This window comes from Homo sapiens, chromosome 6 (assembly GCF_000001405.40).
Source record: "Homo sapiens chromosome 6, GRCh38.p14 Primary Assembly".
In the NCBI taxonomy this organism is placed as follows: domain Eukaryota; kingdom Metazoa; phylum Chordata; class Mammalia; order Primates; family Hominidae; genus Homo; species Homo sapiens.
This window is the reverse complement of record NC_000006.12, coordinates 137,931,000-137,952,690: the sequence shown is the minus strand read 5'-3', so window position 1 is coordinate 137,952,690 and position 21,691 is coordinate 137,931,000. Positions and strand designations below refer to the sequence as shown.

The following is a 21,691-nucleotide window of genomic DNA, read 5'->3' as shown; positions in this document are numbered from 1 at the left end:
CTTAATCTGTTCTGGAATGTAGAAAATGACAAAAACCATCTGTTCTACCCCTAATAGTAAGCCCAGGGAAGATTAGCAGTGTGATAAAGAGGAATTCCTATTTAAGAAGCAGGTGACCTGTTTTCTAAGCATGCACATTCCACTTGTAAACTGGATGCTCTTGAGCAGTTAACCTAATATCCCCCTGCCTTATATACTCTTCTGTCAAACAGGTGCTTAATAAATGCTGATGTCAGCTCTGCCCTGCATCTCCCAGCTGTTCTCTGATCTTCACTATTGGGTTTGCTGTTGCCTCCCCTCCCCCTTCGGAGTACATATAGACTGGGGCTATATGCAGTCAGAATTGGCTCAGACACTGGAATGGGATGAAGCCTATATCCATAGGCTACATCCGTAGGCTCCATAGGCTGGGATAGAGCTGATATCCATCCATAGGCTACATCCCAGTCTAGTGTTTGAGCCAATTCTGACTGCATATAGCCCCAGTCTACTCTTTCCCATCTCTTCAATCCAAGACAGACTTTATCTTTGTGAATTTCATAGATTCTGGATGAAGAGGAAGCAGGGCTGACCACTGAACACCAACACTGTTCCCTAGCAATCAAAGCTTCCTGCATCCTACACTGTTCACCTTATCCCCCAAATAGCTTCATTTTCATGTCAAGGATTCTTTCTTCCTGCCAATCTGTCCATTTTTAGTCCAGGGTTTCCTGACTTGGTGACTATGGACACTAGAAGGTTGCAGGTATCAGTAGCAAGGGATTTGAGAATGCTTTCTTATACCAAATGTTATCTGTAGATTGAATATCTCGTACACATAAGTGTTGCTGTTTTTCCAAATGAACTTCTATCAGTCTGAGTTCAAGCAAGAGACAGAAACCACATAGTAATGTAAAGCAAGAGAAGTTTAATATAAAAAATTATTCGACAGTGATAGAAGAATAACTATAACAATGTAAAGAGAACTTTCAAGGGTATCCGAGGATTGAGGGAGAGTACCCAAGGAAAGACAACTCGGAAAGACGGTTCTCTCCTTAAGGCTGGGGTCAGGCCTTGTTGGAGAAGGTGTGTTTGCAGTCCACTAGATGTCAGAGAAGCCTGCTGTTTTCCAGGACCAGGAGCTGGTCCATAGCTGCTGGGCAAATAGGATGCAATTTCTTGGAGCACAGGCAAACTGAGGCTGTGGCTAAGTGCACAGTCAGGCCACTGCTGGGGACGTGAGGCCTGGAGCACACAGTGCCTGTGTTGCAGGGCTGTGAGAAGGTGGCCACAGGCTCAGAATCAGGCCAAATAGTCAGTGAGGGATGTGCCTCTGGGCAGGTGGTAGGGCAGGGCACAGCGGGATGGTCTTATACATAGTACCACTGATGGATAATGCAGCTGGAGCAAGAAGAAGAAAAGTAGCACACCAAAATCAGGAAGAGAAACTCGCTTTCTTCTGCAATGCTGCTCCAGTGGCATCTGCTGACAAAGCTTAGCATTGTGCTCACTGTAAAGGAGAAATGCTTAAAGGGTCCATTGCATATTTGTAGAGCAGCTGCTGAAGAAATCTGGAACAAAGAGGTAATAAATTGAAAACTGGCATAGCACTGGTAGAATTAGTGAAATATAAATTCATGTTAAATCTCTGCTGATTCCTAGTTGATTTTTATCGTTATATATTTTTAATGAACAGATTTTTATTGTTATATATTTCTCAATTAACAGATATAAAGAAGATGACAATTAGCGTGTGGGGAGTCCCCAAGACATTTTGATGTTAAACGTGGGTCCTTCTTCTTGACAAGGTGGGAATATGCTGCTCTAGCAAGATTGCAATGATGAATCCCAGGTGATGCCCACCTGTTGGCTTGAATCTAAAATAGCCTCTTCCTGTCCAGCTGTCGGGTTTCTGTAACTTGTACTATTAACTCTAGTGTGAATCATTTGCATAAATTATGGTTGCAATTCTTGAGCTCCTGGTGTATCACTTCTGGACCTTCTGAGTCCCAGGATGCAATCAGCCCTGCAAATACCCGACCTTTTCTCTAACTACCTGTTCATTGTCTCAAAAAGCGGTCTGGCCGTTTGTCCTTCTCACAAGCTAGGACAGTTGATTGAATGAACGAGTGAATGAATGAATGCCTGTCCCCCTCCTCCATGGTTTTGAGAATTATTATTAAAAATGCATATAAAGCCTATGTGGAAATGTACCAAGCAGCATAAATCATCATAATTGCTATTACTGATAATAGCCACACTTTTAAACAAGGCTTTATTTGCCTTTCAGTAGATCTCATTTGCAAATGGTGGTTTTTTTTTTTCTTTTTTAAATAAGTGGTTTCTACTTATAACCAAGCTCAATGGTAACTAAGCAATTCAAGAATTCTGTGGCATATGCATTATCAACAAAACTCTGTTTTTAGACTCTACTCACTTGCAAACCCATGTCTAAACATTGCAGCTATAGCAACATGCAGGCCCAGGTGCTAAATCACCTGGTTGGGAAGACAGAAACCATCTCACATTGCATCTAAGAACTCTGACCTGAATGACATTTTCCAGGAAGTAGGTGAGAGTAGGGGAGAGGAAAGAAGAAGGGAGAATTAAGAGCAAAAGTTAGTTTCATTTAAACTGAAACAAGTAGGTCAGCTGACATTGTGCTAAGTGAGTCCGCTCACTTTTCAGGTTAAAGTTTTTCCTTAAACTCAGATTTTTTGGTAAAAGAAAAAAGAACAAGACAACTCCAGGATACAAATTGTGAAACTTGTAATGATGATGTGATACCTTAATTTGGTTAAAATGCATGACAATATAAGTCAGGACAACCTTTGGCTGACACAAATGAGGAGTTATGCTCAAGTGCACAAAAGCTTTCCCATGAGCCACTTGTTTTTGGTTTTAATAAGGCTTCATCTCTTTAAGTGGATTACCAGTAAATTCTTCTGATAGTTAATACTAGAAAACAAATGGGAAGCTTGAGGTTTTTCCCCACAAGATGGCTATTTCTAATATCAAGATTGTCACAGCTATTTGGGGGATGGCAGCACAAAGGCAAGAGAAAGCGTCAAAAAGTGTTTTGGGGTCGGGAAGTAACATGAAGAAACTCGTGCTTAAAGAAGAATATGTTTGCAGACTGGTGATGTACACAGCTAGGCAGCCTAATAAACCGATGTAGTAATTCAAGTATAAAAGCCCTCAGAAGTTAACTAGTCAAGCCCCTTTCTAGTACAAAGGAGGAAACTGAGCCCCAGAGATTAGAGAGGAACTTGCCTAAAATCTCTTACCTGGTTGTTGGCAGAGCTATGTCTAGTGACCAGACTAAAAAGTTTTGGCTGCTATTCTTTTCACCAAATGTCACTGAACTTTAGAGGTGACATGACATTCTCATTTTTAATATTTTATATTTTGAGGTGATCTAAGAGTTGCAGATCCCAGGGGATTATTTTTCCTTTAGGATCTTAGTTATAAATGTTCTTTTCTCTAACTGCAACCTCCTTATAGGTTTCCTCTCTCTTCCCTCCAAATCTACTCCAGTTTCTTTTCTTTTTCTTTCCTTTTTTTTTTTTTTTTGTTTGAGATGAAGTTGCCCAGGCTAGAGTGCAGAGATCTCAGTTCACTGCAACCTCTGCCTCCTGGGTTCAAGCAATTCTCGTGCCTCAGCCTCCTGAGTAGCTGGGAATACAGGTGTACATCACCACTCCCAGCTAATTTCTGTATTTTTAGTAGAGACGGGGTTTCGCCATGTTGGCCAGGCTGGTCAACCTGGGCACTTGAACTCCTGGCCTCAACTGATCCACGTGCCTTGGCCTCCAAAAGTGCTAAGATTACAGGCATGAGCCACCATACCCAGTCTACCCCAGTTGTTTTCAAACCAATCATAGCATAACAGTTTTGTAACATTAGACATATTTCTTAACTATTTTGTGTCTCAGTTTCCACTATAATATAGAGAAAACAATACCACCTACCTCATAGGGTTGTTATAAAGAACAAATTAGTTAACATATATATAATACTTAGCATCTGGCATATCAATGCTCTATAAATTTTAGCTATTTTTAGAGACAAATATAAGAGAAAGAGTTTTTGTGATACTTTGTTTATTTGTCCTATTCTGAAAAGTTCATGACACCTGAACCTGATCCTACATGAGCTGGTAAAGATTTGCTTGAAGGTGTTGAAGTTAATTCCATTCTTAAGGACTGCATAGTGAGCCTCCAAAATGCACATGGGGTGTTGCAGGGGAAGGTCTAGGATGGGAAAGATGGAAGGAAATGTCAGCTGGGGGGTTGGATGAATAAGAAGGTGAGAAATTAGAGAGAGGGAAAGGCCTATTTGAGGAGCAAAGAGCAGCAACTCTTTCGGTCCCAGAGAGAGAGAGAGAGAGAGAGAGAGAGTGTGTGTGTGTGTGTGTGTGTGTGTGTGTGTGTGTGTGTTCCAGGTATGGTATTATGATCACAACTGAGATATTATATTCATCTAATGCTCAAATCTCCAACCGCTCACCTCTCATCTGAGTAAAAGTTCTGTATGTCCGATAGTCTGTGAGGCATCTTCCCAGGAATATCCAGCTATTCACTCAGCACAACATGAGTTCATTTTTTTTAGAGTCACCTCTGTTCAAAAACCCTATTTATGCCATCAGTAACACCTTCCCTCCAATCATTCAGGCTTAAGATCTGTATTTATTTGCAACTCTTTACTCTTAAAATTTAAGCTGTAATGTATGCTAGGTAAGTGATCATGAGTAGGCTATTTATATTTATGATCTTTGTTTACTTATTTGTAAATTGTAGTTAATTTTAACTACCATATAATAGTTGTTGAAAAGAATAATACTACTACTACAGTAGTAGTATTTTTCTTTTCAAAAACCAGTATAAGGTAGTGGAAATTAACTACTAAAAACTATTACTATAGTATTAGTAGTAATGTGGTAGAATAGTATTAATATTAGTAAGACTAAGTACATAGTATTAGAAATACAATACTACTAATAATAATGTAATAATAATAATGGCTAACATTTATTAAGTTCTATTTTCTCATTTAATCCTCATAACCACTCTATAAGGCAGGTTGTATTTTTATCCTTAGGTCATAGAATAAGAAAATGAGGGTTATGGAGGCTCATTCATATGTTAAGTAAATGTTTACTGAGTGTCTAGTCTGTGCCAGGAACTCCTCTAGAAGCTTGAGATTCAACAGTACTGAAGATAAGGTCCTCACTCTTATAAAACTTACAACCTAGTGGGGAAAACCAAGTCAACAAATGAAATGATTACAAACTGTGAAGAATCCTGTGAAGTAAACAATAAAGTCTTGTGAGAGGGAGTAACAGGTGGCTTGGTCTGCTTTAGGTAGATTAATTCATGAAGGCATCTGGAGCAAGGTTACCTATAAGCTGAGACGTAGGGATGAGGAGGATTCAATCCTGAAAAGGCCTGAGGGGAGAGTGCCAAGGCCTCTGAGCAGGAAGGAGCTGGCATACTTGAGAGACTTAAAGACAAGCAGGGGCTAAAGAAAAGTAGGGGCAGGGACCTTGGGGAGGATGCGGATGGGGAGGAGGGGCATGGCCTAGAACATGGAGGTCCCCATGCACCATGGCCACCAGTTTGGAGTTTTATTCTCATGCCATGGCAAAGCTGAATACAGTGAAAGCTGAGCAGTGAGTGACTGATCTAAATTAAAATTTTAAATATCCCTTTGGCTTTATTGTGGTGAAAGGCTTATAAGGGTGTATGAGATAAACCTGGGATACTAAATAAGGCCCCTATTGCAGTAGTCGAAGCAGGAGATGACGGAGCTTGGACCAAAGGAGCAAGTGGAGATGGATACAAGGGGGTAGGTGGGGCCTATGTTTTAGCTGAGAGCTGTAGAGGAAAGCAAGGAGAAGGGAGGAGCCAGAAAGATGTTTCTAGCATAAGCAACTGGGTGAATGGCAGTGCCAATAACAGAGTTAAGAGGACCAGAGTAGTAGAAACAGGTGTTGAGAAAGAGAAATGGGACATGCAATCAAGAGTTCTATTTTGGCCATGTAAAAAAAAGATGATCCAAATCAAAAGGTCAATTAGACAGCTGAATACTTGAATCTTGATGAGGAATCTGGCTAGAGGTAAAAATATGGGATTATCTGCATATACACAGTGTTTAGAACCATTGGCCTGCAGGAGAAAATATACATAGAGAAGAGAAGGTGCCTCCGTTCTGAGCCCTGTGGAGCCCAGACGTTTCTGAGACAGGCGGAAGAGAAGAATCCAGGGACGTGAGAAGGGAAGCTTGTCCCACAGCACCCAGTTAGTAAGGAACTGAGCTGTGACTGCCGATGCAACGTTTGTGAGGAGTCCTACAGAGTGCGCTGCCCCCTGCAACCTCAATTACTGCAACAGTCCCTTCCACCTCAAGCTCCACAGTCTGACTTTCAAGGCCAGCTTTGACTCCTCCCTCCTTCTCCAACCTACTTCTGACACCGCAAATATTCCTAAACACCCTACAACTTACAAAGCTCTAGATGCCTGTAGGATGCACTTTTATGTAACAGTAACCATCGCAATGATAACATTTGTTCATCCAACACATATTGAGTGCTTGCTGTGTGTCAGGCCCCCTTCAAGCCTCCAAGGAGACTCCAGAGAACAAAGTCTCTGCTCTTGTGGGTTGACACTGGGGAGGAGGCTTCTCTAGTCTGTTTTTTTTTTTCATAGATCCCTTATTGGTCACACTCATTTCCACCTCTACAAATGTTCCCTCCTTCCTTCTCAGCCTCTTTCCTCCCCTCCACTTATCCAAATCCTCCATTTTCCATAGAAGCCAGCCAGGCTGAAAATAGCATGTTATGTTCCTACATGTGATCACTGGTATATCTAAACATAAACACTACCTTATCACCTCTACTCCCTCCCACAGGGATACACACCTACCTACCGAGAGACCTCCAAACAGAGACATCAACACAGAAACCTCCGCAGAGATAACCAGATCTCCATATGCAAACCCATGTAAAAAGAAACCTAGAGAAACAGATGCCCAGATGAAGAGGGGTATGAGTATAACCTTTTGTGAGTAAAACCAGAGTGAATTTAGGGGGAAATGGGTGCTGTAGAGAAAATGAACAGGGCTAGAGGAGATAGAGGAGAGGGTAAATAAATGGTCAACAAAGCAACTTTCAGACACAATGCTAAGTCTGGATAGCCCCTAAAGGGCTTTTGGTGGTATTCTGAGCTCCCATGCCTAGCTCATTACCTGCTGACAAGATGAAAAGGCAGGGATAGCCATGTTCAGAACTTCTCTCAGGAGCCCAACTTCAGGGAAAGGCTCTTGCAAGGAAGGTCAGTGCATCTCCATCCAGCACAGGCTATATTAGGGAAATTTCACTGGGTGTTAACCTATTTAACACTAAAGCCTTCTCAACCATGTAGATTAGTCTAATGCTCTCTGATGGGGTTACGTGGGTAATTCTCTCCTCCGCTTACCTATAGCTGACAAACAACTTCCATTAGCACAAGTGACCTGGTCAAATAGTGAATTGTGATTTAGTACATGCGAAGGCTCATCTATATGAAACAGTGGGACACTGATTAGTTTCCTTCTATTCCAGCAGGTGGAGCTACTGCCTGGAAGGACTCAATGTGCTTCAGTGGCTGATGCCCACTCCTTAAAAAACAAAACAAAACCCAAAACAACAAGTGGTATAGAGAGAAACAAGAATTACCAAAAGGGAAAATTACTTGGTCTAGAATTATTTTGTGATTGTCCAAATACCTGCACCAGCGTCTGACCAATAACGCATACTCCGTATAGTGAATGAATACATGTGACATAATCTGATGACCAGACTGTAGCTTGAGTTTAGAATAGTAATTCTGTCTGCCTTTTTCTGTTTTGTTTTTCTCTCCTGTCCCTTTGATCTTTGTATATTCCTGTCTTTGGACACCCACCTCCATCAAAATGTCATAGAAAAATTCTGTGAAACTTGACTGCAGGGTCAAAGTGATGTCAAAGGGAGGTTTGGGGAGAGGCATGTGATGAAAATAGCCCAGCTGAGGTTCCCATCTGTTTCCCATGCCGTATAGCACTATGCCCTAGGCAGTGTTTCTTGAAGTGTTTCCCCAGCGTCTGCATCAGTATCAGCTGGGTTGTTTGTCAAAAATTCCAATTCCCAGGCCACACCCCAAAGAATCTGATTCAGTGCTTCTGGGCTGGGGCACTCTTAAGTAGTTCTGCAAAACACAGCTTGAGAATCTCACTTGTAGATTAAGGAGAGTGAACAATCTTTTATCCTTAATCCTAAAATCTAAAGAGTACTGAAAACTGAAAACCGCTGGGTTTTCATAGCTCATTTTGGTGGCAAAATCTGATCCATGAAGTGACATCACACTATAAATGATCCTTATTTATTGCACATAATGTGGACATTCATACACTTTGCTGCAGAAATATTAGTGTGTTTGATTAGAAGTAGCTCTCCCTGACCCTACTGGGAATGTTAAGGGATGTAGGGTATGTACATTGTGCTGAACTGTCTTTCTAAAATCCAAAGAATTCTTTTTTTTTTTGAGACGGAGTCTCGCTCTGTCACCCAGGCTGGAGTGCAGTGGTGCGATCTCGGTTCACTGCAACCTCCGCCCCACTGGATTCAAGCGATTCTCCTGCCTCAGCCCCCTGAGTAGCTGGGACTACAGGCACATGCCACCACACCTGGCTAATTTTTTGTAATTTTTTTGTGGAGACGGGGTTTCACCATGTTAGCCAGGATAGTCTCAATCTCCTGACCTCATGATCTGCCCGCCTCGGCCTCCCAAAGTGCTGGGATTACAGGTGTGAGCCACTGCGCTTGGCCCAAAGAATTCTTGAATTCAGAAACACACTTGGCTTTAGGGGGTTCAGGTAAAGGGCACCTGTACTAAATCCTCATGTGCAGTCTATAGGTGGTATTTGGGTCCGATTTAAAAAAAAAAGCCTAATAAAAGGAATGTTAGTTTGGGAGCCAGAAGACTTCATCCTTCTGGCTTCAATTCTCTACCCTGAGAAGGAGATGGCATTTAAAGTCTTCTGTCTCTAAAATTTTGATTTCCACACCTTCTTGCTTTCTTAAGAAATGTTCAGACATTACTGCCATAAAGATGAGATTGTTGTGTATTGTTATTTGTATTAAAAATTTAGAAAGGTGAAAATCTTTTTCTTTCTCATAGGTTTCCAGACAGATTCTTGGCTGACGTTTCTGTCAGTGGTGTGAAAGGACATTTACCCAGATTCTATAGATATTTTGGTTATGCACTCAACAAACCTACAATGAAACTACCAGAATACAAAAGCAATTGTGAACTCCAGAGAGTGCTAGAAAACATTATGGAAGAGGGTATAGTTTATGTTAATTATAGAGGACTAAAGAGATGTAGAATAGGAGAGCTGAAAAAGCCTCCACTTCCAGTGGCTCTTAGAGTGTAATTAGTCCAAGGGACAGCAAGCTGCCTTCTAGCAGAATCGTTGTGATCCCAAAGCCCACATGACTGGGGCCTCTCTCTGGTCCTTTATACAGTAATTAATATTTAAAAGATCTCGCTAAAGCCCTGTCAAGTCCTGAAGCAAGATTTTGAAAAATAAAAAAACTCATAAAACACAAAATAGAACAAAACAATGAGCTCTGAGTTTGCTTTGTTGAAAGCAATGGGTTGAATTGTGTCTCCCCATAATATGTATTTTGAAGTCCTAACCTCTAGTACCTTAGGGTGTGACCTTATTTGGAGATGCAGACATTACAGAAGTAATCAAGTTAAAGTGAGGTCATTGGGATGGGCCCTAATCTGATACAACTGGTAATTTGGACACAGACACATTCAGGCAGAACACCATGTGAACATAAAGATGGTCAGGTACAAGCCAAAGGGGAGAGGCCTGGAACAGATCCTTCCTTCACAGGCCTCAGAAGGAACCAACCCTGCCAACATCTTGATCTTGGACTTCTGGCCTCCAGACCTGTGAGACAACAAATTTGTGATCTTTTGTTATGACAATCCTAGCAAAATACACTGTGACACCCAGTTTCTAATCTGATGACAAACGGAGGCATCTACAATCTCTGAGGGTGTGTGCATTTGGGCACTCATTTCACCACTGACTTCATTTATGTCCTATTCTTTGTTTTCCATTTGTTTCATTTTTCTAATTTTATCTTCCATTTTTAAAAAAGTTTACTGTACTAGACGTAACTTTTTAAGCTGCCTGAAATTCTTCTTAGGTTTACAAATGATATAAACTGGTAAATAAAGATGATCAGACCTTAAGCACATATAGCACACATGGCTGGGATGAAACAACTAAGTAGCAAAATATTAATTTATAAAACAAATTAAACAGCAAAAAAAGAAAATAGTAAAATCCAACTCTCCTGGACCATTGGAGGAGGAACTGCAAGGGATGATGAAGATTTCATAGAGCAAATGATTTCTACACTCTGGGAAAGAATTCTTCAGGCAGTACACCACTTTAAAATGGTGCTTGACTCACCAAAACATCAGAGCCGTCTTCAACTTTTCACAACGCAGAGCAGAGAAAGAGGAAGATCACTTGTAGATGGAGTGTGGCAGGAATTTTGTGAAGTGTATAAAGAAGTTAGCAAGTGTATAAAGAAGATAGCCATTTACTAAGCATCTGCTATGTAGCAGGCACTCTGCTAGACATTTGTTATGGAATGAATCATTTAATCCTTGTAATAAACTTGCAAGGATATATTTTAGCCCACCCCCTACCTAAAACCAATAAATATGTGGCTCAGAAAAGTAAATTAACTGGTCTAAGAGCAAGTAATTAGTAAAAAGTTGAGCTGGGATTTGATATAAAGAAAAATCTGATCTAAACTTGATAATATTTCTGCTTCCCCAAATTGCCTCCTTAAAGTTTACACATTGTTTGGTCTCTTCAATACACATCAAAATTATCAATACCTATAGAAATGTCAATGAAAAGTCTTCCTTTAAATTAGAATATTTAGAAACTTTAGGCCCAGAGACTAAAAAGTATGTGAAATTAGTATAAAAGTATGTAAAATGTTTGTAAAGAAATGATGATAACTTCGTAGACCAATGTGGCATGTAAAACATGTGGGCCACAGAGGGAGATTAAGAAAAAAATATATGCAATCATAATAATAAAAGTGGAGTTACTCCAGACTATGCTTTTTGCCAATTCTTTGGTGAGAAGGGATTGGTAGTTAATTATAGAACCACTTTCTATATTAATTCTAGATATTGTATTCTAATCCTTAGAAAGTAGGCTGTGGAAGAACTAATAATTGCCCTCAAGGACCCATTCTCTTCTTCTCATAAGAGAATCTATGGTTGCCCAACTAAAGCTTCTATTTCGCAGCACTCATTGCAGATAGTTATAGCTATGGACTCAGTTCTGGCCAGTGGACTCTGAATAAAGGTACTATGTACACTGTTGGCTGTGCTCTTAAAGCTAAGGGATGTGCCATCTCATCCCCTGTGCTCTCTTTGTTGGCTGGGAAGCTGGCAGGATGATAGGAGTTAAGCCAGCCATTATGGACTTTCAGATGGAAACCAGCTGTTGAGGATGAGAGAGCGACAAAAAGAAGACCGTCAAGATTGTGGGGCTAATTTACCAGCCTGAATTGCCAACCTGTGTTTTTGTATTACAGGCAAATAAAGTATGTGTTTTTAAAGTCGCTGTTATTTTGAGTCTCATTGTAACTGCAGCCAAACCAATATTCTAATGAATAAACTATATTCTAACTAATAATTAAACAGAACACTCCATTCCCCACCCAAATCTCCTGAATATGAATGTATGCAAGAATTCTCCATGTAGAACTATATCGTTTATTTTGGTATTCATATTATGGTACATTTTCTCCTAACAACTTGTTAGGACTTGTCATTTCCTTGCTTTCTGAACTCTCTTCATTGAAAAGTCTCCCAAAGGATTCTGGCTTCTCATGTTGTCTTAGGAGTGTCTTTACTGGGTCCAGAAACCTTGGGTCATTTCTTTTAAGTGCAGGATAGGTACAACTGGGAAAGTAAAGACACTATAGGATGATCTAATATTTATTAGTGATTTTGTTTATGCCCAAACACTCCAAAAAGTGTCTGGAAATTTCTGCCATAATCTGATTTATAAGAACCCTTTGAAACCTGGGCAGCATGTTGGATCAGGAGTTCTCAGACTTGTCTGAGGTTTTTAGATCCAGTACATGGGCAGCTTCCTGAAGAGGGGTACAGGGGGAAGCATGTGTGTGGAGGAGGTGTTATAACCAGAATTCCCCTATAGTTGCCTTTTCTAAAAAAGGGTTTAGAGAAGATGTGGGAGGAGTCCCCCTAAACCACTAAAATGTCTCAGTTGTAAAACTGATGACTCTCTGGTGAGCACACAAAGCCAACAGCTTCAAGTTCTATAGTCCATTTTGATGAAGACAGAAAAAGTTAAAGGGCATTTACCCAATTTTTGTGGATGATTGAACAGGCTATTGCACTACGCAAAACTAGGAAATACTAAGCAAATACCAGAAAACTTATTACAGAGTTTGAATCAGAGTTAGTTTCAGGTAGCATCAGGAATTGCACGTAGCCTCTTGAATTCTTTGTCTTCACTTTACATATCCCATAGCAGAACACAAGGGGTCAGCCTCATATAATGGATGCTAGAGTTTAGGGGGCAAGGTGGGATGGAGGAAGCAAGGAGACCACCTGGGGATGTTAGCTATATCCTGTCTTATAAGAAATGCTATAGGGGGCTGGGTGTGGTGGCTCACGCCTATAATCCCAGCACTTTGGGAGGCTGAGGCAGGCAGATCACGAGGTCAGGAGATTGAGACCAACCTGGCTAACACAGTCATCTCTACTAAAAATACAAAAAAAAATTAGCTGGACATGGTGGCGGGCACCTGTAGTCCCAGCTACCCGGGAGGCTGAGGCAGGAGAATGGCATGAACCTGGGAGGCAGAGTTTGCTCCACTGCACTCCAGCCTGGGTGACAGAGTGAGACTCTGTCTCAAAAAAAAAAAAAAAAAGAAAAAGAAAAAGAAAAAGAAATGCTATAGGGAGTTCTTCAAGTTGAAACAAACAAAAAAAAGCTAACAACGTCAAAACATAAGAAAGTATAAAACTCACTGTAAAATAAGAATGTAGTCAAATTCAGGATACTCTGATATTGTAATGTAGGTGCATAAATAACTTTTAACTCCAATGTAAAAGTTAAAAGACAAAAGTATTAAAAATAACTATAGCTATAATAATTTGTTAATATACATGATATACAATAGAGGTAAATTGTGACATCAGTAATGTAAAATATGGAGGAGGAAAGTTAAAGTGTAGAGTTTTTCTAAATTTGACTACTTACTTTTCTAGTGAGCTTTATACTTTCATATGTTTTCATGTTGTTATTTAGCATCTTTTCATTTCAACTTGCAGAACTCCCTTTAGAATTTCTTGTAAAGCAGGTCCAGTGGCAATGAACACCCACATGCAGCTGAAGTTGAGTTGTTTCCTGCTTAAAGTAGGCTGTTATAACTACAAGATACTTTATGTAAGCCTCATGGTAAGCATCCCCCCAGAAAGCTGTAATAGATACACAAAAGATAAAGAGAAAGGAAGCAAACTACCACCAAAAATCATTACATTATAAAAGAGGACAACAATAGAGGAAGAATGGAACAAAGGAACTACAAAACAGTGAGAAAACAATTAAAGTGGCTGTAATAAGTTCTTGCCTATCAATAATATACTTTAAATGTAAATGGGTCAAATTCTCAAATGTAAAGTCATAAAGTGGCTGATGGATTAAAAAAAAAAGACCTCACTATATGCTGCATACGAGAGACTCACTTTAGCTTTAAAAACACATGCAGGCTGAAAGTAAGGAGATGGGAAAAAAATATTGCATGAAAATGGTAACCAAAAAAAGAGCAGGAGTGTCTATACTTACATGAGATACAATATACTTTAAGTCAAAAACCGTCACAAGCGTCAAAGAAGGTTACTATATAATAATAAAGAGACAGATTCATCAAGAGGATATAGCAATTGTACATATATATGCACCCAACATTGGAGCACCTAAATATTCATATATTAAGCAAGTACTAAAAGAACTGAAAGGAAAAATAGACAACAATAAAATAATAGTATGGGACTTCAGTACCTGACTTTCAACTATGGATAGATCATCCAGACAGAAAATCAAAAAGAAAACAGCAGACTTGAAGAATGTTATAGGCCAAATAGACCTAATATACATGTACAGAACATTCCACCCAACAGCGGTAGAATACACGTTCAAGTGCACATAGAACAGTCTCTAGGATAAATTATATGTTAGGCCAGAAAACAAATCTAAGAAAATTAAAATCTTATCAGATATATTTTCTAACTACAATAGTATGAAACTAGAACTCAATTATAGGAAGAAAATTGGAAAATCCACAAATATATGAAAATTGAACAGCATACTCCTGAGCAACAAATGGGTCCAAGAAAATATTTTTTAAAATCTTGAGACAAATGAAAATGGAAACACAACATACCAACAGAAACAGAAAGAGCTGAAGAGAGAAGTTTATAGTAATAAATGCCTACATAAAGGAAGAAACATATCTCAAATAATCTAAACTTACACTTCAAGGAACTAGAAAAAGGAGAACAAACTAAGTCCAAAGTCAGCAGAAAGAAGAAAATAATAAAGACTAGAGCAGAAGTAAGTGAAATAGAGGCTAGAAAACCAAGAGAAAAATTCAAAGATACTTAGAGTTGGTTTTTGGAAATAATAAACAAAATTGAGAAACTAGTTGAATTAATTGAAAAGAGAAAGAAAATTCAAGTAAATTAAATTTTACATAAAAAGGAGATAGATATTACAATGATATCACAGAAATACAAAGAATCATAAGAGATTACTATTAATAATTATATGCCAACAATTGGATAATCTAGAAAAAATGGATATATTCCCAGAAACATACAATTTACCAATACTAAATTATGAGTAAATAGAAAAGCTGTACAGACAAAAAACAAGTAAGGAGATTGAATCTGTATTTGAAAACCTTTTAGTGAAGAAAAATCCAGGACCTGATGTCTTCACTGGTGAATTCTACCAAAGAATTCTTCTTAAAGAAGAATTAATGCCAATCCTTCTCAAACTCCTCCAAAAAATTAAAGAGGAGGGAACACATCTAACTAACTTTACCAAGTCAGCATTACCCTGATACTAAAGCTGGAAAAAGACATCACAAGAAAAAAATTATAAGCCAGGATGAACAATGATGTAAAAATCCTCAATAAGATACTAGCAAGCCATATTCAACAGCATATTAAAAGATCATACACCATGATCAAGTGTGATTTATTCCAAAGATACAAGGATGGCTCAACATACACAAATCAATATATGCGATACACCACATTAACAGATTGAATAATAAAAATAGCATTTTTATAATAAAAATAATATAGTCATCTCTATAGATGCAAAAAACCCACATTTGACCAAATTCAACATCCTTTCATGATTAAAACTCTTAACAATGTAGATATTGAACATAATAAATGCCATACATGACAAGTCCACAGATAACATCACACTCTTTGGTGAAAATTTGAAAGCTTTTCCTCTAAGATTAGGAATAAGATAAGGATACTTATTGTCAACACTTCTATTCAAGGTAGCATTAGAAGTCCTAGCCAGAGCTATTAGGCAAGAAAAAGAAATAGAAAACTTCAAATCATAAAGGAAAAAGTAAAATCACATGATCACATGATCTTATATATAGAAAACAGATCACATGATCTTATATATAGAAAATTTCAATGATTACACCAAAAAAAAAAATCCCAAAAACTGTTACAATAAATAAATTTGGTAAGGTTGTAGGACACAAAATCAACATACAAAAATCAGCATTTCTGCTACTAACAATGAACATCCAAAAAAATCTAGAAAACAATACCGTTTACAATAGCATAAAAATATTTAGAAATGAATTTAACCAAAGAGATAAAAGATTTGTATATTGAAAACTACAAAATGTCTATGAAAGAAATTGAAGAAAAAAATTGGAGATATCCTGTGTTCATGGATTGAAAGAATGAATATTGTTTAAATGTCCATACTACCCAAAGTGATCTATAGATTCAATGTAATCTCTATTAAAATTCCAATGATGTTTATCACAGAAATAGAAAAAAAATCCTAAATTTCATATGGAACCACAAAAGACCACAAATAGCCAAAACAGTCTTCAGCAAAAAGAACAAATCTAGAGGCATCACATTACCTCATTTCAAAATATACTACAAAGCTATTGTAATCAAAAGAGTATAGTATTGGCACAAAAACAGGCATATAGGTTCGTGGAACAGAATAGAGCCCAGAAACAAATCCACGCATTTATGGTCAATGATCTTCAACAAAGGTCCAAAAACACACAATAGGCAAATGACAGTCTCTTCAATAAATGGTGTTGGGAAAACTAGATGTCCACATGGAGAAGAATAAAATTAGGCATTTATCTCAAAATGGATTAAAGATTTACACATGAGAGCTGAAATTGTAAAACTACTAGAATAAAACACAGGAAAAAAGCTTCTTGACATTGGTGGGCTGGGCTATGATTATTTGAATATGACCCCAAAAGTATAGGCAACACAAGCAAAAACAGACAAATGCAATTGCACCAGACTAAAAAGCTTCTGCACAATGAAGAACATAATCAACAGAGAGAAGAGAAAACCCACAAAAATGGGAGAAAATATTTGCAAATAATTTATATGGTTTTGGGTTAATATCCAAAATACAAAATGAACTCAATCAACTCAATAACAAGAACACAAATAACCCAATTAAAACATAGGCAAAGGAACTTAATAGACATTTCTCAAAAGGAGACATACAAATGTCCAACATATGTAATAAAAAAAAGCTCAACATTACTAATCATCAGGGAAATGCAAACCAAAATCCCAAGGAAATCTCACCTTACACATGTTAAAATGACCATTATCATAAAGACAAAATATAACAAGTGTTGGCGAGGATGTGGAGAAGAACTCTGGTACACTGTTGATGGGAACATAAATCGTAAATTGGTATAGCCATTATGGAGGTTCCTAGAAAAATTAAATATAGAAGTATCATGTGATCCAGCAATCCCACTTCTGAGTACACCTCCAAAGGAAATGAAATCAGTATATTGAAGAGGTATTTGTTCTCCCATATTCATTGCATCATTATTCACAATAGCCAAGATATGGAATTAATGTAAGCGTTCATTGGTGAATGAATGGATAAAGAAAATGTGACACACACACACACACACACACACACACACACACACACACACAGAGGAATATTATTTAGCCCCTCAAACAAAGGGAATCCTGTTATTTGTGGTAACATGGATGAACCTGGAGGACATTATGCTGAAAGAAATAGGCCAGGCACAGAAAGACAAATACTGTATAATTTCATGTATTTATCTAAAAAAGTCAAACTCAGAGAGTAGAATGGTGGTTGCCAGGGGATGGTGGAAGGAGGAGGTATTGTTCAAAGGCTACAAAGTCTCTGGCAGGATGAATAAATTCTGGGGATCTACTATACAGCATGACAGCTATAGGTAATAATAATGTAATGTATACTTGACATTTGCTTAGAGAGTAGATCTTATACATGCTTGTCACATAGACACAAATAGTTAACTATGCAAGATGTTGGATATGTTAATTAGCTTGATAGTGATAGCCACTTCACAATGTATACATATATCAAAACATCATGTACACTGTAAACATATGCAATTTTTATTTGTCAATTGCACCTCAATAAAGCTGAGAAAAAAAGGACATTGGGAGGGAATTATTTTGTAAGGAGAGAAAAAAGCATAAATTTCATTTTTTTTGCCTAATATAAGAAGTCTGTTCATCAAATTGACAAAGTCTAAGGTCCTAGGACTGAATATTTGAATAATGTCATCACATAATATCTCTAAGTCCTAGGCAAATATTAGGTGAAAAAAATTAAACAGATAGGGCTCCTGCTTTTGACAGTAAGTTCTGACTAAACGGTCTTGTTTACTGTTTACAGATGACAGTGATCTAGTTTGAAGAAAGCTGTAATGCTATAAGCTATGAAGTTGATGTTTAGACTACAGTATTATTTTCAACATTCTTGCTACCCCACTCCCCCAACATTTCTGCTGTGGTTGTATTGAGTTAAGCTATAGTTCAGAAATATATGGGTTATGAACAGAGGTGGTGGCTTATGCTTGTAATCCCAGCTCTTTGGGAGGTCTAGGTGGGAGGATCACTTGAGGCCAGGAGTTTGAGACCAGCTTGGGCAATATAACGAGACCCCATCTCTATTTAAAAATAAAAATAAAAATAAAATTAAGAAAAGAAATAATGGCTTAAAAAATTTCCTCCAGAAGAAAAACAGGTTATGCAAGAAGAAGCCTGTTTTAATAGAAAGTAACTATAGGCACCTGAAGGCTACCTCTGCATGTGTTTATTTTTATTTTGTTGGCAGGGCATTACTGGAAGAAAAGTAGATATTCTATAACAAGTTTGAGTGAATAAGCTCCACATGTGGTCTCAAGCCAAAGTCCTATCATCACATCTGGCACGAGAAAAACACCACAGTTCTCTGAACCTTTTCCCCAGACCTCCTGAGGCTCTTTGCTCATTGGAACGAGGCAATGCTGAGGCAAGTTGGTTTCCAGACTGAGGTTGATACTCAGCCTTGCTGGCCAGCTCTCTTATTTGGCAGACCAAGGTCTTCTCATGCCTCAGGCTAAATAGCAAGGAAGTGCTCAAGGCCAGAATTATTTGAAATAAGAGGAAAGTTGGAGGTGCTGCCCAGTTCATGACTCAGTGAAACGAAACTCTGAAACACAGCAATCCAGAATTGAGAAGCCAAAATAGGAAGGCTTGAATGGAGCAGTAACCCAGCCAGGCCTTGACAGAGTATTTGGAAACAGGTGGCATAAAAGATTAAATATACCAGGACTGAACGGGATTAATTAAGAATGGCAGGGGCCAGCTGAGTCAGGAACACATGGGCAGATCTGGAATTAAGCTTGGTTAATAAAGATAGGTGAGCCCAAAGTGTTTCAGATTGTATAAATGATCCCTACTTTAAAATCTTGTACTGTAGCCCACATACAGATCACAGACACTAAAATCACAGAGAAATATTTGCGAGAAGCCTCTCTCGACCCTGCTGACTTGTATTCTATGAATTGTCAGCACTGACCTGGGGCAAGAATAAACTACAGGTAGATAGATGTCTGTCTGCTTTTGTAAGACAGGAGGAGATAGATATGATCTTAACATTTTTATTAGAACAAAAAGAATAAATACATTTTAAGGCCTAACCTGTTCAACTTAATACTCTAATATCATTTTCTTACTTTAACATTTTTGTTTATTGAAAATCTAAATAATTTAGTTAAGTAATAGAAATCCTCCATAGAAGGCAGGGGGCCTGGCTCTGTCACAGAATCAACATGGAATCCCAGTCACCAGAGTTAGCTTTTATGAACTTCTGGTTTACCTTCTGAGAAACGGTTTTGTTTTTGAGGATCAAATATGATAATATTTATAAAAGTACTTGGAAAACTATAAATTGTTATATAAATGGAATATATTATTTTATGAAATCATTATTCTTTGCTCACAGAATCATGGCTTGATTACCCTGGGGACCAATTGGGTTTTTTGTTTTACTAAAACCAAAGAAAAAGAAAAATAAACTTTGTTACTTATCACTGACTTATAAAGAATTCTGCTATAAGTCAAATTATTTAAACCTAGCCTAGCAATTATCTTTCTTTTTCCTTGTTCCTGAAAGGTAGGATTTTGTACACAACTTGCTACTAAGTACAGCTGCAATTTGATTAGGAGCCTTAACCCTTGAAAATAGTCCTTTACTGCAAAAAAGCATCATAAAGAAACACCTTTTATGTCTTCTGAATAATAAAAGGGAAAATTCATATTCTTACATTTCTTTGAACAGAAACATGTCTAAATGCTTCAAGTCACATGTTTAAAAGACAGTGGAACAAAGTATTTAGACTACATCTGATAGACAAAGTATTGGCAATTTATAAAACAGCCCCTCAAGATAAACAAAAGACAATCCAAAATAAAAGTGGCCAAATGACATAAACAGGCAATTCCTAGAAGTGAACATGCAAATGATTAATAAACATATGAAATTTAAAAAACAATGAGGTACATTTGCACCCAACAAATAGTGCACAATGAAAAAGACTGATAATATGTAATACTAATAAGAATATGGGAAAATAAGCAGGCTCATATATTGGTAGTTGGGAGTACAAATTATTGCAATCTTTTTGGAAAGACTCTGTGGGCCACAGTAATTCTAAATATTAGTGCCAGAAAGGATGGTGACTACCATCTTCATTCACTTATTCATGAAACAAATATTTACTGCACGCCTACTTTGTGCCAGGGATACAGACTTACATCTGTAAAATAAATCTCTGCTCCTGTGGAGTTCACATTTATTGCGGGACAGACAGACAATAGCCATAATAAATAAGTACAGTGCATAGAGTATAAGGAAGTGATACGTACGATGGAAAAAACACAGCAGGCCAGGGAAAACCTGTAATATTGATATGAGTGTGTGGGCAGCAACTTCAGATAGGGAGTCTGTATAGGTCTGGACTGAGAAAGTGAAATCTGAGCTAAGACTTGAAGGAAATAGGGAGTAGCTATGAGGATGCACAGGCGAATAAGGTTCCAGGCAGAGGAAACAGCCGGTATAAACATAAATAAGTAAAAATAACAAAGTGATTGAATACAAATATAAAGATGTAAGTGAAAGAAGAGTGGATGGAGACTGCTCCTTTCCCTTCCAAGGTTAACAGTTTCCTTTCTGCATATTTTCTTCATTTATTTATTCAGTTAATGGGATCTGTGTCTGTAACATCTAGGAGGGTGTGTTGATCTGTCAATTATCAAAAAGATAGTCTTACTTTTGGTCAATCAGGCACGGTCACAGAGTCCAGAGACTTTTGGCAAGCTACTTCCTTTTTTTTCCCATGAAATCGGTCATCAATCCATACAGAGTCCACCTGCAATAAGAGTAGCTTGAGTGGAATCACTGAATCTCCTCCTTATCTGGTCCCCTCTCTTGTCTCCTTGGAGCTTTTTTCTACTCATCTGCCTACCCTCAGAATCTTCTGGCAGCTTCAGAGCCTAAAGATTTTGCCAACTCCTTTAAGTCCTTCATATTGTTCAGTGAAGAACCCTTATGAGGGCAACAGACTTATCTCTTGTTAGTGTGAACTTCTGTTATAGCATTCAATTGTGGCATTAATTTTGCTAACAAAAATGCTATTACATTATTCTGTCCAATCAGAGACGTCTATAATCATATAGTGGTAATAATTACATCTGACAACATTACGATAGATTTTTCTGTATTCCTTTACCATCTCTTCTGACCATTTCTCATACTTCACAAGTTTTCTAAATTTCTTTTGAGGTATAACGTACTTTTTAGTATAGAGTTTGTTGGATTTTAAAATAAACATGCCCTATTTACCTCCCAGATTAACACTGCCAGCACCCCAGAAGCCTCTCTCTCATGCCTCCTTTCAGTCAATAACCACCCTAAGGTAGCCAATATTCTAATTTGGATCACCATATGTTAATTTTTGACTGGTCTT

The 21,691-nt window shown here is 38.0% G+C and overlaps 2 long non-coding RNA genes across 2 annotated transcripts, besides 1 other annotated feature; one reads left to right on the top strand and one right to left on the bottom strand.

Annotated features, from left to right (window-relative positions):
* Positions 1-887: 887 nt before the first annotated feature.
* LINC02865 (long intergenic non-protein coding RNA 2865) lies at positions 888-7,343 on the bottom strand. The gene is made up of 2 exons (NR_174953.1): positions 7,225-7,343; positions 888-1,550 (listed from the first exon to the last, which is right to left on the bottom strand). It is a non-coding gene; the product is annotated as a long intergenic non-protein coding RNA 2865 (long non-coding RNA).
* Positions 6,891-9,616, top strand: SIMALR (suppressor of inflammatory macrophage apoptosis lncRNA). The gene is made up of 2 exons (NR_149097.1): positions 6,891-7,022; positions 9,174-9,616. It is a non-coding gene; the product is annotated as a suppressor of inflammatory macrophage apoptosis lncRNA (long non-coding RNA).
* Positions 18,687-18,736: a silencer, noted in NCBI's record as "silent region_17592". NCBI's record gives its function as "represses an Ori minimal core promoter by ATAC-STARR-seq in GM12878 lymphoblastoid cells {active_cell/tissue: GM12878}" and the evidence as "EXISTENCE:reporter gene assay evidence [ECO:0000049][PMID:35858748]".